We start from the raw sequence: 13,462 nt of genomic DNA on the forward strand, positions 1-13,462 counted from the left end.
CCCACCTCACCACCAGTGAAAACCCAGATCCTTACAATGCCTACAAGGCCACCCCTAGAATGGCCCCAACTCCCTCTCTGACCCCAACTCCTCCTGCCCTTTCCTCACCTGCCCCCCAGTCTGCCAGGCTGTGCTCCTTGCTCCTAACTCAGGGCCTTGCCTCAGGGCCCTGTCTGCAATGCTGTTCTCCCAGACATCCCCACCACTCTCTGTCATTTTCTAGGGGCCGGACACGTGGCTCACGCCTGGAATCCCGGCACTTTGGGAGGCTGAGTCAGGAGGATCAGTTGAGCCCAGGAATTCTAGACCAGCCCCAGCAACACGGCAAGACCCTGTCTCTACAAAAAAATTTAAAAAAATAAAAATTAACCAGGTTTGGTGGGGCACACCTGTCCCAGCTTCTAGGGAGACTGAGGTGGGAGGATGGCTTGAGCCGGAGAGGTCAAGGCTGCAGTGAGCTGTGGTCGTGCAACTGTACTCCAGCCTGGGTGACAGAGTGAGACCCTATCTCAAAAACTAAAAAATAAAAAAAATGCAAATGTCATTTTCTGAGGTCATCTCTGAGCATCATTTAAGATATCCTCTCTAGAATGCTCTATTACCTTCCCCTGCCTTATTTTTTTCTTTTGTATGTATCACCATCTGGCATTCTCTATATTTTGTATATTTATTTGTTCCACCCCCACTCTTAAGCATTAATTCCATAAGGACAGGGGTTTTTATCTGTTTAGATCACTGCTGTGCCCCAGTGCCTAGAATAGTGCCTGGCACATAGTACTTAATGTATATAACACATTGGCCATCCTCAGGACCACTTACCCTCTCTGGGCCCAGTTTCTTCGCAGTTTTCTTGGCACCCATTCATCCTGGTACCCAGGCCCCAGCACAGTGCTTGGCATAGAGCCCATGCTCAATGAGTTTGTTCCCTGTGCAGCTCTGTCTCCCTGTGATCCTGGCCTACCTACTGAAGAGCCCTGTGCACAGATTTACACATAAAAAGATTATCTTGCTTGTCCAATTGTGTGACAGCACAAATGCCTATGTTTGGGAATAGTTTGTTTGCTTTTAGAAATCCAAGTGGAGGGCCGGGCACGGTGGCTCACACCTGTAATCCCAACACTTTGGGAGGCCAAGGTGGGCGGATCACCTGAGGTCTGGAGTTCGAGACCAGCCTGACCAACATAGAGAAACCCATCTCTACTGAAAATACCAAAAATTAGCCGGGCGTGGTGGCGCATGCCTGTAATCCCAGCTGCTCGGGAGTCTGAGGCAGGAGAATCACTTGAACCCGGGAGGTGGAGGTTGTGGTGAGCCGAGATCACGCCATTGCACCCCAGCCTGGGCAACAAGCGCGAAACTCGGTCTAAAAAAAAAAAAAAAAAAGGAAATGAAAGTGGAGTTGTATGATTATACATCCCTCTCAACCTCTTGCAACCTGATATTCTTTCCTGAACCTGAGAAAAAGAATGGTGTTATAGCCAGTAACCAGCCACCTGCTTTATGAACACCAAAAATACATTCTCTTTGTTTAAGATTCTGTTGATTAGAAAGCATGACTGTGTTTCAAGTCCCTGCAGAATTTGCAGGAATCACCGAATTCTGAATCTGTCCCTAGATGTGTAACCATCTTGAATATTTTCTGTCCTAGAAGGAGAAAAGGGTTGAAAAGTCACAGCTTCTGTGCTTCTGAAGGCAGAGACTGCCTTTCATTCATTCCAAGTGCCCTGCTAGCATGGACCTCAATCACAGTAGGTGTCAATAAGTGTTTATTCCGTACAATAGTCTATACAGACATAGTGCACTAATGTGTTAGCAAAATGTCTGTGAGACTTGAGTCCTCAGTTGCTTTGTTTTTAAATGTCCTCGGTTGTAGTCTGGCTCTACATAACAAGAGCTATAAAACAGTCAGCCCTTTGACCCAGTCATCCACTTTCTGGGCAACAATTCCAAGGACATAATTTTTAAAAAGAAAAATGCTGTATGTATACAGATATTTATAGCTGCATTATTTATAATGACAAAAAACTGGAATCAACCAGTAACAGAAAAGTGGCTAAATATGGTATGGCCGTAAGAGGGAAGAGTATGCAGCATGAAAATAACCAGGAAGACTGTGAAGAGACAGGGAAATGTGTTTTCAAAATATGTAAAAAGAGTGCAACAAAATTATTCGTATACCGTGTTAAAAAATAAAAGCTTATCTACCTATTGAAATTAAGAGAAAGTAGGAAAAGTAGTGGCAGACAGAATGAGAATTTTTTTTAATAATTGCCTCTAATGATGATGTAAAATTTTCATAATAAACATCAAAATGGTCCCAGCTCCTTGGATGGAGACTAAATGCTAGTCTTTCTCAGGATAGAGACCTGATCATTTATCCTTTTTTTTTTTTTTTTTTTTGAGACAGAGTCTCACTCTGTTTCCCAGGCTGGAGTGTAGTGGCACGATCTCCGCTCACCGCAACCTCTGCCTCCCAGGTTCAAGTGATTCTCCTGCCTCAGCCTTCCAAGTAGCTGGGATTACAGGCACCTGCCACCACGCCTGGCTAATTTTTGTCTTTTTAGTAGAGATGGGGTTTCACCATGTTGGCCAGGCTGGTCTCGAACTCCTGACCTCAAGTGATACACCCACCTCGGCCTCCCAAAGTGCTGGAATTACAGCGTGAGCCACCGCGCCCGGCCTCCATTTATCTTTTTTATCTCCTCTTCTCTCCCCCAACCAGCTAGCTCTGAACTGGGCACACAGCATATATACTCAGAAAATACCCAGAAAAAGATTGACGACCCTCACCCCAAAACATAAACAATCTTCTCTTACCTTAAACACCATTACTTAAACACAATTTATTCATGCTTTCCAGTTCCCTCAGACCCTCGACTCCTGCCCAGTGCTAGTTGAATGGCCTTAAGCAACCTCTCCAAACTTCAGTTTGCCTTATTTTTATTATTATAACACATTCCATGAAAGTTTGTTAACCTAAACAGCCTAAATTCAACATCTGGGTGTTCTAGGGCAAGCGGGGAGAATGAGAAGAGGGAAGCAAGGAGGGTGGAAAGTGCAAGGGGTGGGACAGTGGTCTCTCCAGCTCTCAGTCCAGTTTTACAATGTGACCTGGGTGGGAAGTGGTTGATGCCCTGGCTCCCCCAGCTTGGCCTCTGCAGAGCTGGCAACTCCCACACCCAGGGTGCAATTACCAGGACCTTTTAGAGCCACTGTGTGGAGACTACTTCCTGGAACAACAGCCCCATTTCCTAAAGACAGTAAGTCTAGGATTGTGCTCAGCTTTACAATAAGTCTCGTTGACTCTGCAGAACAAGTCCTGGACTTGCCCAGGTAACTCAAGAGCCCTCTGTGGGGCTAGGCTTCTAGCTGGGACCAAGCGAAAGCGTGTGACTCCTGACTGGGAGGTCCGCTCTGGTATCTAAGTGAGGCCAGGCTCTGCGCAGCCAAGCAAAGAACCGCCGGAAGCTCTGGTTTCACCGCGGCCGAGCGCAGATCGCGCACCGGTTCTCACGTCTGCAAACGTGCAACTGCCTGCCGCGGGCGCCCTGATCAAACAAGCAACTTGCTTCCCTTTGCTGTGAAAAGAACCGAAACTCAGGCTCAGAGCCTCGCAAAACAAAGACATCTTTACCCGCCCAGTGCTATCCTGTGTCACCCCCCTCCCAGGGTCTGCGCGTCTTTGATGGAGCCCCACGCGCAACTCGTCGCGGCGCCGCTCCAGGCAGCTGGCTGCATGCGAGACCCGGCGGGGAGAGGTTCTCCCGGCCGCGCTAGCGACTGGGCAGGGAATTGAGCTCCCAATCCTTTTCTCCTGCTTTCTGCTCCAGCTCGGGAAATCTTGAAGTGTCCACTGGGGATTGGGTGCCTCTCGGATTCCAGTTGCACAAAGCATGCTTCGTGGGCGTCTGGATATAAAGACACCTACCTACCTGGGCACAGAACTGTCTGGCGTTCCCTCAGGGCTGGTGAGGTGTGAGTAGATGAACTGCCAGATCTGAGGCCTGCCGAGTGCCTAGTAGACAAAGAACTGAGGGGCGAGCCCAAGGACCACAGCTATGTCACCCACCTGCCTCCTGGTTCCCATTCCACCTGGACAGATGGCACTGGTGTTCTCAAAAGCAGAGAGAAACTTGGGCGATAATGTCTCAAGCATCCTTGAGTATCAAAAGGAGAAGAAGAAATTCCAAAACAGGGTAATAGATAGGGTGGTTCATATTAAATGCTTATATTGAAAAATTAAAACAAAAAGACAATGTATTATATTAGTATTAATGAATTAGGCCAGGCACGGTGGCTTACACCTGTAATCCCAGCACTTTGGTAGGCCGAGGCAGGAGGATCGCTTGAGTTCTAGAGTTCGAGACCAGCCTGCACAACATAGCAAGACCCCGTTCCTACAAAAAATACGAAAGTAGCTGGGTGTGGTGGCACATGACTGTCGTCAGGGCTACTCAGTAGTCTGAGGTAGGGGGATTGCTTGAGCCCAGGAAGTTGAGGCTGCAGTGAGCAGTTCCTGTGCCACTGCACTCCAGCTTGGACTATAGAGCGAGACCATATATGTATGTATATACATATAGTTCTATATCAGAACAAGAGTCCAGTGAAGTGTCATCATGCACTTTTCACAAAGGAGAAGGCTGAGGCACTGAGGCACCATCCAGAACCCCTTCATGAAAGGACCTGTCCCAGGTGCCAGGAGGTGGACACCCTTCAGCATTTAGTTATTTTAGGGACTATCTCTACTACAGAGCAGCTTTTCCCAAAAGCACACCTTCCCTACGCTGCCTGCCCAGGGTCACACATCATCTAGGTGGGGGTGAAAGACTGGCCATTTGGGCCTAACATGGGACAACTCTGATGGGACATTTTGACTCCAGAGCTCCCCATGGAATCAGTGAAGGCCGTCAGGCCGACATGGCGGCTCTTCTTCCTCTGCCCAATCCATCCCCCGCCCTGCTTTCTTCCACAGGTGTTGAGCCTGAGGACCTTCTTTAATTAACATCCTGCATGATAAACTGTCTCTGGGACCAGGGAATTCAGCCTGCAACAGGTCCAGAGAGACTAAGAGACTTCCCTAAAATCACTCAGTAACCAAGGAACAGGGCAAAGGAGGCAGGAAAAGGGCTAGAGAGGCAAGGGAAGAGCTCTTGGATGTGAAGGGCCTTGTAACAGAGCAGAAGGTTATTCAGAGGTTCCTAGGACCCCAGGAGACCATTTAGGTCCACAATTCATGGAGATCCAAAGGGCTAAATCTTCCTCCTATACTAACAGGGATGCCCACAGCCCAAGTGTCACCATCTAGGAACTAGACTAGATCCTTTCAGGAATGGCTTTTTCAGTTTCCTCCATGGAAGAAGTGGAATTTGAAACATACTTTAAAAGTACAAGCAACTGTGGAGGCAGAAAGGCCATACAGGCAGCAGGGACAGAATGAACAAGGTAGTGGGAGGGAAGCGGGATGGCCTGGTGGAATAACATTATTGATGATATGCAGGCTGGAAATTTTGCTCGGGAGGGCTTTGAATGTCAGTGGTCTGATGTGGATGCGGTAGGGACAGGCAAAGGCTTCCCGCCAGCCCCTCTCATTCCACCCATACACTCTGTCTCTATAACTCCATCCTCCCCCACCAATCCATTTCCTCTCAGGGTTTGCCTGTGCTGCTGGCCTGGTCTGGCCATAACTGATACTGAAGCTGACTATTTATAGCATTTGAGGACAGATAGAATGGCAGGGCCAGTTTCCATGACAGCAGGGCTCCTAGAGGGTGACTTCCTCTCTGCTGGGTCCCCACCCATCTCCTCTGGGTCCACCTTCTCTCCAGTTATCTCCAACACTGCTTCCAGTGTTATTCCTTGGGTAGCATCAGGGCTGCTGCTAGGTGAGAACACAGCAGGAGACCAGCTAGCAGTGACAATGCTGGCTCCAGGTACCAGCACCATTTCCCCCTGTCCTCCCATCTTCACATTAGGGCATATACCAGGCTGGGGCTCAGCCATCACTGCTGGGTAATGTAGGCCTGGGGTCCTCTTCTTCTACCCCCAGGCCCTCCCACCTAGCCTCTGCCTTCAACTCCTACCTACTGACCGCCTGAAGTTGTGAATCCCAGAGGGTAGAAAGAGAAGAGATACAAATGACAGAGGTCTGGAGATAGAAGAGGACAGAAAAAACAATAAAGGTGGGAAAATCACAATGAAGATATCTATTAATACTATCCTAGCCAAACTTAGCTCCTATTTGGAGTCTTCAAAGCATGGTTAAAAAAAAAAAAGAGTTCTTCCATTTGTCAGCTATGAGGATTTGACAAGTCCTTTAGCCTACTAGAGGTATTGATTGTCTTTTAGTCAACAACTCTTTATTGAATGCTTTCCATTGGCTATACACTGTTCTATGTATTAGAAAATCAACAGCAAACAAAACTGACAAAAATGTCCTCCCTTGTAGAGCTTACATTTTAGTGTAAAGGGCAAACAATAAAATAAATAAGTAAACTATATGGTATGTTTTGTATATGTATGTTTATGTAGGCGCGTATGTATTTATATAAGTATGTACATGAATATACATATGTATAGGTATGTGTATTTGCATGCATAGGTTTTTCTGCCCCAAAGGCCTAAAAGCAAAAATACTCCAGAGCAATATACACACCCAGTACCCATACCTTGGTTTCTAAATGAAAAGGAACCATGACCCCTCAGATAAATTCCAGAATAGGTAGCTGTGGCAGGATAGGTATAAGATGCACCTGAAATGGCTTATTATGCATAAAGTAAAAAATAACTTAGAAAAGTAAAAAGTGATGGGGGCATGTTAAAGGACACAGAAGCCTGCTTCAGGGGGCTCCCACTGGCGACGCACGCAGCAATTTGAGCACTGAAATAATAAAGAATTGGCCAGGCGCGGTGGCTCACACCTGTAATCCCAGCACTTTGGGAGGCCAAGGCAGGCAGATCACCTGAGGTCAGGAGTTTGAGACCAGCCTGGCCAACATGGTGAAACCCTGTCTCTACCAAAAATTCAAAAATTAGCTGGGTATGGTAGCACATTTCTGTAATCCCAGCTACTTGGGAAGCTGAGGCAGGAGAATTGCTTGAACCCCGGTCGGCAGAGGTTGCAGTGAGCCGAAATCATGCCACTGCACTCCAGCCTGGGCAACAGAGCGAGACTCCATCTCAAATAATAATAAGAACAAGAAGAAATTATAACCCATTAGAGAAAATAAGAATCCACAAGTCCACACAGATAATAAATTGATGAATGGATGGGTGGATGAGTGAAAAGCGAAGGTTCTTGATTACAGTAGAACCAATATGCCAACTAATAAATGTAGGGGGAGTGCAGGAGTTTCAAAAACATCATTTTGCAACCATAGTAGTAAAGATTATTTAGGCAGGAATCATCACTGGATGCAAAATCTAGGGTGAGAGTTTGATGATGAGCTGGATTCTTGTATGGTCTTAAATGTCTCCCTACAGATTGCTTATTTGATGCAAAGGAAAAAACAACAATGATGTGTCTTAGTCTGTTGGGGCTGCTCTAACAAAAATACCATAGACTGTTTAGCTTATAAACAAAGGAAATTTATTTTTCACAGTTCTGGAGGCTGAGAAGTCCAAGATCAAGGCACTAGGGGATTATCATGTAAGGGTCCACTTTCTCATACATAGCATCTTCTTGCCGTGTCCTCAAATGGTGGAAGAGGCGAACAAGCTCCCTTGGGCCTCTTTTACAAGGGCACTAATTCCATTATAAGGATGGAGCTGCCAGGCGTGGTGGCTCACACCTGTAATTCCACCACTTTGGGAGGCTGAGGCAGGCGGATCACGAGGTCAGGAGTTCGAGACCAACCTGACCAACATGTTGAAACCCCATCTCTACTAAAAATCCAAAAATTTGCCAGGCATGGTGGTGCACACCTGTAATCCCAGCTCAGGAGGCTGAGGCAGGAGAATCGCTTGAACCCGGGAGACGGAGGTTGCAGTGAGCCGAGATCACGTCACTGCACTCCAACCTGGGCGACAGAGCGAGACTCCGTCTCAAAAAAAAAAAAAAAGAAAACAGAAAAAAAAAAAGGATGGAGCCTTTATGATCTAATCATCTCCCAAAGGCCCCACTTGGGGGGTTAGATTTCAACATATGAACTTTGAGGGGGGACACAACATTCTTTCTGTCTTAGTCTGTTTGTACTGCTATAGCACAATACCTGAGACTAGGTAATTTATAAAGAACAGAAATTTATTTTCTCACAGTTCTGAAGGCTGAGGGGGAGAAACACTATGTCCTTACATGGCAGAAGGCCAAGAGAACCACACTCTGTGTGAAGCCTCTTTTATAAGGGCCTTAATCTCATTCATGAGGGAAGGCGCCTCATAACCTAATCACTTATTAAAGGCCCCATCTCTTAATACTATCACACTGGCCATTAAGTTTCAACACCTGAGTTTGGGAGGGGACACATTCAAACCATAGCATGGACTATAGTATGATACATGGCAAATTCCAACAATACCTTACCAGGAGATCAAAATTAACATCCCCAGTGAGGGGCAGAAGAACATCGTGTAACTCAGATATGATACTTTGATAAGGACACACCTCATACGTTACCTTCCAGGAAGGAATGCATAACCTGAATCTAATCATAGGGAAATATCAGACAACCCCCTATTAATAAAACTGAGTGTGGGTGGAACTATAGTCTTCAAAAAGACAATGTCCTGAGACAAAGAAAGGCTGTAGCTACGTTTCAGATTAAAGGAGAATAGGCTGGGCACAGTGGCTTAGGCCTGTGATCCCAGCACTTTGGGAGGCCAAGGCAGGCAGATCACTTGAGCCCAGGAGTTCAAGGCCAGCCTGACCAACTTGGCAAAACCCTGTCTCCACTAAAAATACAAAAATGAGCTGGATGTGGTGGCACATACCTGTAGTCCCAGCTACTCAGGAGGCTGAGGTGGGAGGATCACTTGAGCCTAGGAGGTTGAGGCAGCAATGAGCAGAAATCGTGCCAAGCATTGCTTAAGTTCAGGAGTTCGAGACCAGCCTGGCCAGCATGGTGAAACCCTGTCTCTACTGAAAATACGAAAATTAGTCAGGAGTGGTAGCAGGGGCTGTAGTCCCGGCTACTTAGGAGGCTGAGGCAGGAGAATTGCTTGAACCTGGGAGATGGAGGTTGCAGTGAGCTGAGATCTCCCAACTACACTCCAGCCTGGGTGACAGAGCAAGACTCCATCTCAAAAAACAAAAAAAAACAGACGTTATTGGATCAATTGATGAAATTGGAAACAGATGGAGGATTAGATAAAAGTATTGTATCAATGTTAAATTTACTGGTTGATAACTGGACTGTGGTTATGTAAGATAGTATCTCTATCCTTAGGAAATTCACACTGAAGTATTTAGAGATAAAGTGCCACAATATGTATAATTTATTCTCAAATGGTTCAGAAAAATGTTTGTGTATGTGAGTGTGTGTGTTGAGGTCAGGATGGGCATAGGGAGTAAATGAAGCAAATGGGATAAAATGTTAACAAAAGGGGGATCTTGGTAAAGGACATATGGATGCTCTTTGTACCGTCCTTATTCTTGTAACTTTTCTGTAGTCTTGAATTTATTCCCAAACAAAATGTTTTTTATTATTTTTTATTTTTTTGAGGCAGAGTCTCCCTCTCTCCCATGCTGGAGTACAGTGGTACAATCTTGGCTTACTGCAACCTCCACCTCCCAGGTTCAAGCAATTCTCGTGCCTCAGCCTCCCAAGTAGCTGGGACCTACAGGTGTACACCACAATGCCTGGCTAATTTTTGTATTTTTAGTAGAGATAAGGTTTTGCCATGTTGGCCAGGCTGGTATCGTACCCCTGACCTCAAGTGATCCACCTGCCTCATAGACACTGCGCCCAGCCCATTATTTATATACATATATATAATTATAAAAGGAATTATAACCCACTGGAGAAAATAAAAATCCGTAATGCATACAGATAATAAATAAATAGGCCGGGCACAGTGGCTTACGACTGTAATCCCAGCACTTTGGGAGGCTGAAGCAGGTGAATCACGAGGTCAGGAGATCAAGACCATCCTGGCTAACATGATGAAACCCCGTCTCTACTAAAAATACAAAAGATTAGCCAGACGTGGTGGTATGAGCCTGTAGTCCCAGCTACTTGGGAGGATGAGGCAGGAGAATCACTTGAACCTCTGAGGCAGAGGTTGTAGTGAGCCAAGATCATGCCACTGCACTCCAGCCTGGGCGACAGGGCAAGACTCTGTCTCAAAAAATATAAATAAATAAATAAATGGATGGATGCATGAGTGCGTGGTTGGATGGATGGGAAGCAAGGATTCTTGCTTACAGTAGAACTATAAATACCAACTGATAAATGTAGGGGAAGTGCAAGAGTTTCAAAAATATCATTTTGTAACCATGATATATTTTATATATATAATATATATTAAGTATATAATATATATTTATGTATTATATAGTATATATTTTTATATATTCATATATGCATTATATATAATATATGTTATATATACAATATAATATATTATATACATTATATAATATAGTTATGAAAGGAATTATATATAATTATGAAAGGAATTATAACCCATTGGAGAAAATAAAAATCCACAATCCATACAGATAATAAATAAATAGTCTGGGCATATATATATATAAAATATATAAATATATATTTTATGTATATATAAATAAATATATATATATATATATATATATTTTTTTTTTTTTGATACCGAGTCTCTCTGTGTTGCCCAGGCTGGAGTGCAGTGGTACAATCTTGGTTCACTGCAACCTCTGCCTCCCGGGTTCAAGCAATTCTCCCGCCTCAGCCTCCCAAGTAGCTGGGATTACAGGCACGTACCACCACGCCTGGCTAATTTTTGTAATTTTAGTAGAGACAGGGTTTCACCATATTGGTCAGGCTGCTCTCAAACTCCTGACCTCAGGTGATCCACCCGCCTCGGCCTCCCAAAGTGCTGGGATTACAGGCATGAGCCACCACACTTGGTCGATTATATATATATATATATTATATATAAAACATATATAATGTTATTATATATAATTATTAGAGACAGAATCTAGCTGTGTCACCCAGGCTGGAGTGCATTGGCACAATCTTGGCTCACTGCATCTGCAGCCTCAACCTCCTAGGCTCAAGTGATCCTCCTGCCTCAGGTAGGACTGCAGGTGCATGCCACCATGCCTGGCTCAAATAAAATGTTTTCTAAAAAAAAAAAGAAAAGAAAAAACTCTCTCTATATATATATGTGTGTGTGTATATATGTGTGTGTGTGTATAAAACTATATACATATATATATGGTACAACAGATGCTGTTATGTTCTATGGAAGCAGGGTCAAAAATAAAGCAAATGCCAACAATAAGAGTAATGAAAGAAGACTTCTCCGGGAAAGTGATTTAAGGAAAGACTGAATAAGGTGAATGAGCAATCCATGGAGATATCTGGAAGACGAGCAGTCCATGTGCAGGAAATAATAAGCTCAAAGACAGGAACAAGCCTGGAGCATTCACCAGCAAGATGGCCAGTGGGGCAGGAGCTGAGGGAGTGAGGGAAAGTGGGGAAGATGAAGTCAGAGAAATAACAGAGAGTCTGAATGGGCAGCGCCTCGTGGGCATTTGAGAAGCACCAGGAGTAGGAGGGAAGGTCATGAGGGCTTTGTGCGGAAGATGAACATGGCCTGACTTACGTTTTCAGCACTCTGATTGCTGTGTTGAAAACAGATGGAGGAGGCAAGCCGCAGAAGCAGGGGAGCAGTAACCGGCTGTTGTTATCATCCAGGCAAGAGCTGATGACTGGCTTGGGCCCAGGGTGGGAGTCGAGGAGTTTGCAGCAGTGCTTGGATCCTGGCTATATTTTAAAGCATCTGCTGAGGGATAGGAAGTAAGGTATAGGAGGGATGTTTGAGGATGAGTCATGTTTTTTGGCCTGAACAGCAGCTACAGGATGGAATCGCCATTAACTGAAAAGGGAAAGCAGCAGCTTTTGGGGATACTGCTGAGTTTAGGAATTTAGTTTTGGATATATTTAAGTTTCAGGCACCCATGAGATATTTCAGTGGAGATGTAGAGCAGGCGGTTGTATATAGGAGTCTGGATTCCAGGGGAGAGTCCAGGCAAGAGATCAGCATATAGAGGACATTCAGACACAAGAGTGGATGAGGGCACCAGGAAGTAGGAAAAAAGGTGGAGGCCAAGGGTGGAGCCTGGGAAATGAGGAGGAACTAACAAAGGACACTGAGAAGGAGCAGGGAGAACCTAGAGAGGGTGCATCTGCAAGCAGGTGAAGAAAGCCTCTGCAGGAGGCAGGAAAAGTCAAGTGTCCTAAATGCTGCTGAAAAGTCAAGGAAGTTGAGAACTGAAAGTCAAGCATGGGGTTTAATACTGGGAAGGTCATTGAGTGTCCTAAGAGAATGGTTTTGTTAAGGCAAGGGGTCAAAATCCTAAACAGAGTGGTTCAAGAGAGGATGAGAGGACCAGAACTGGAGATAGCCAGCATCGACAGCTTTTCTGAGGTGTTTTACCTTAAAGGGAATGAGAGAAATGAGGCAGGAGCTGGAGGAGGAGAAGGAACGAGAGAGGTTTTTCCTTAACTGAAAAAGAGGGGTGTAGACCTTCTCAGCAGGGTCATAGAAAGGCCGCTGTAATTGTATACAGGGCCCTTCATTGTTCTTAGGTAAATGGGGCACTATTGTTACTCTCCTTTATGGCCTGACCCTGCCCTGGGTTGACCTTACAATGCCCAGAGGATTAAAGCTTAACTTCCTACCTGTCACGTTTCTTTTTGCAGCTCTTCTGGAAAGCTTCTCTCTCTTCCTTGATTCCCCCTCTTTCCTTGGTCCCATCTGGGCTTTTTCTCCCATAATTTGCTAAGCATGCCCCCTTTACCACAGCCGCCTTCCTTGACTCCCAATGCCCTGTGTTAAGGACCCGCTCTTCAATTCTCTGGAAACTTTGCAAAAATACTAAAGTCTTGTTCACCTGTAATTGGACTCCCAAACTGAAGGTGACAAGGGCACCTCTAAATCCACAACCATTTTGTGAGTAGGAAGAATTTTATCATAGAAGAAGAGATTTCAGGCAATGGTATCAGTTGAGGGAGGGTGTAAGGTGATGATTCTCAGAGACAGAGAGGAAGGACAAACCCAAGATAATTTTCAAGGAAGAACCGACAGGTCTTGTCAACAGTCAGATGACAAAAATGTAGGTGTCGAAATTCTTAAATACAGCATACTCTTTGATCTAGCAATTCCACTCTAGGAATTTATCTGGAAAAAAAGTAGCCATTCAAAGTGTCAAGAGTATGGAAAAGGATGTTCATTATAGAATTCTCCATAATGGCAAAATATTGAAAACATCCCAAGTATCAATAATAGAGGGTTGCTAAATATACCATGTCATGTTCAT

The 13,462-nt window shown here is 45.0% G+C and overlaps 7 annotated features.

Moving 5' to 3' along the window:
• Window positions 1,092-1,161: a silencer, noted in NCBI's record as "silent region_2644". NCBI's record gives its function as "represses an Ori minimal core promoter by ATAC-STARR-seq in GM12878 lymphoblastoid cells {active_cell/tissue: GM12878}" and the evidence as "EXISTENCE:reporter gene assay evidence [ECO:0000049][PMID:35858748]".
• Window positions 1,652-1,741: an enhancer, noted in NCBI's record as "active region_3795". NCBI's record gives its function as "activates an Ori minimal core promoter by ATAC-STARR-seq in GM12878 lymphoblastoid cells {active_cell/tissue: GM12878}" and the evidence as "EXISTENCE:reporter gene assay evidence [ECO:0000049][PMID:35858748]".
• Window positions 3,050-3,646: an enhancer, noted in NCBI's record as "H3K27ac-H3K4me1 hESC enhancer chr10:97054719-97055315 (GRCh37/hg19 assembly coordinates)". NCBI's record gives its function as "activates a minimal SCP1, AML or CMV promoter by ChIP-STARR-seq in primed H9 embryonic stem cells {active_cell/tissue: H9 hESC(primed)}" and the evidence as "EXISTENCE:reporter gene assay evidence [ECO:0000049][PMID:30033119]".
• Window positions 3,093-3,422: an enhancer, noted in NCBI's record as "active region_3796". NCBI's record gives its function as "activates an Ori minimal core promoter by ATAC-STARR-seq in GM12878 lymphoblastoid cells {active_cell/tissue: GM12878}" and the evidence as "EXISTENCE:reporter gene assay evidence [ECO:0000049][PMID:35858748]".
• Window positions 3,693-3,742: an enhancer, noted in NCBI's record as "active region_3797". NCBI's record gives its function as "activates an Ori minimal core promoter by ATAC-STARR-seq in GM12878 lymphoblastoid cells {active_cell/tissue: GM12878}" and the evidence as "EXISTENCE:reporter gene assay evidence [ECO:0000049][PMID:35858748]".
• Window positions 3,763-3,942: an enhancer, noted in NCBI's record as "active region_3798". NCBI's record gives its function as "activates an Ori minimal core promoter by ATAC-STARR-seq in GM12878 lymphoblastoid cells {active_cell/tissue: GM12878}" and the evidence as "EXISTENCE:reporter gene assay evidence [ECO:0000049][PMID:35858748]".
• Window positions 5,431-6,014: a transcriptional cis regulatory region, noted in NCBI's record as "candidate enhancer chr10.3436 targeted for multiplex CRISPR interference". NCBI's record gives its function as "positively regulates PDLIM1 gene expression with high confidence in K562 cells {active_cell/tissue: K562}" and the evidence as "EXISTENCE:mutant phenotype evidence [ECO:0000015][PMID:30612741]".

This window comes from Homo sapiens, chromosome 10 (genome assembly GCF_000001405.40).
Source record: "Homo sapiens chromosome 10, GRCh38.p14 Primary Assembly".
Taxonomy (NCBI): Eukaryota; Metazoa; Chordata; class Mammalia; order Primates; family Hominidae; genus Homo; species Homo sapiens.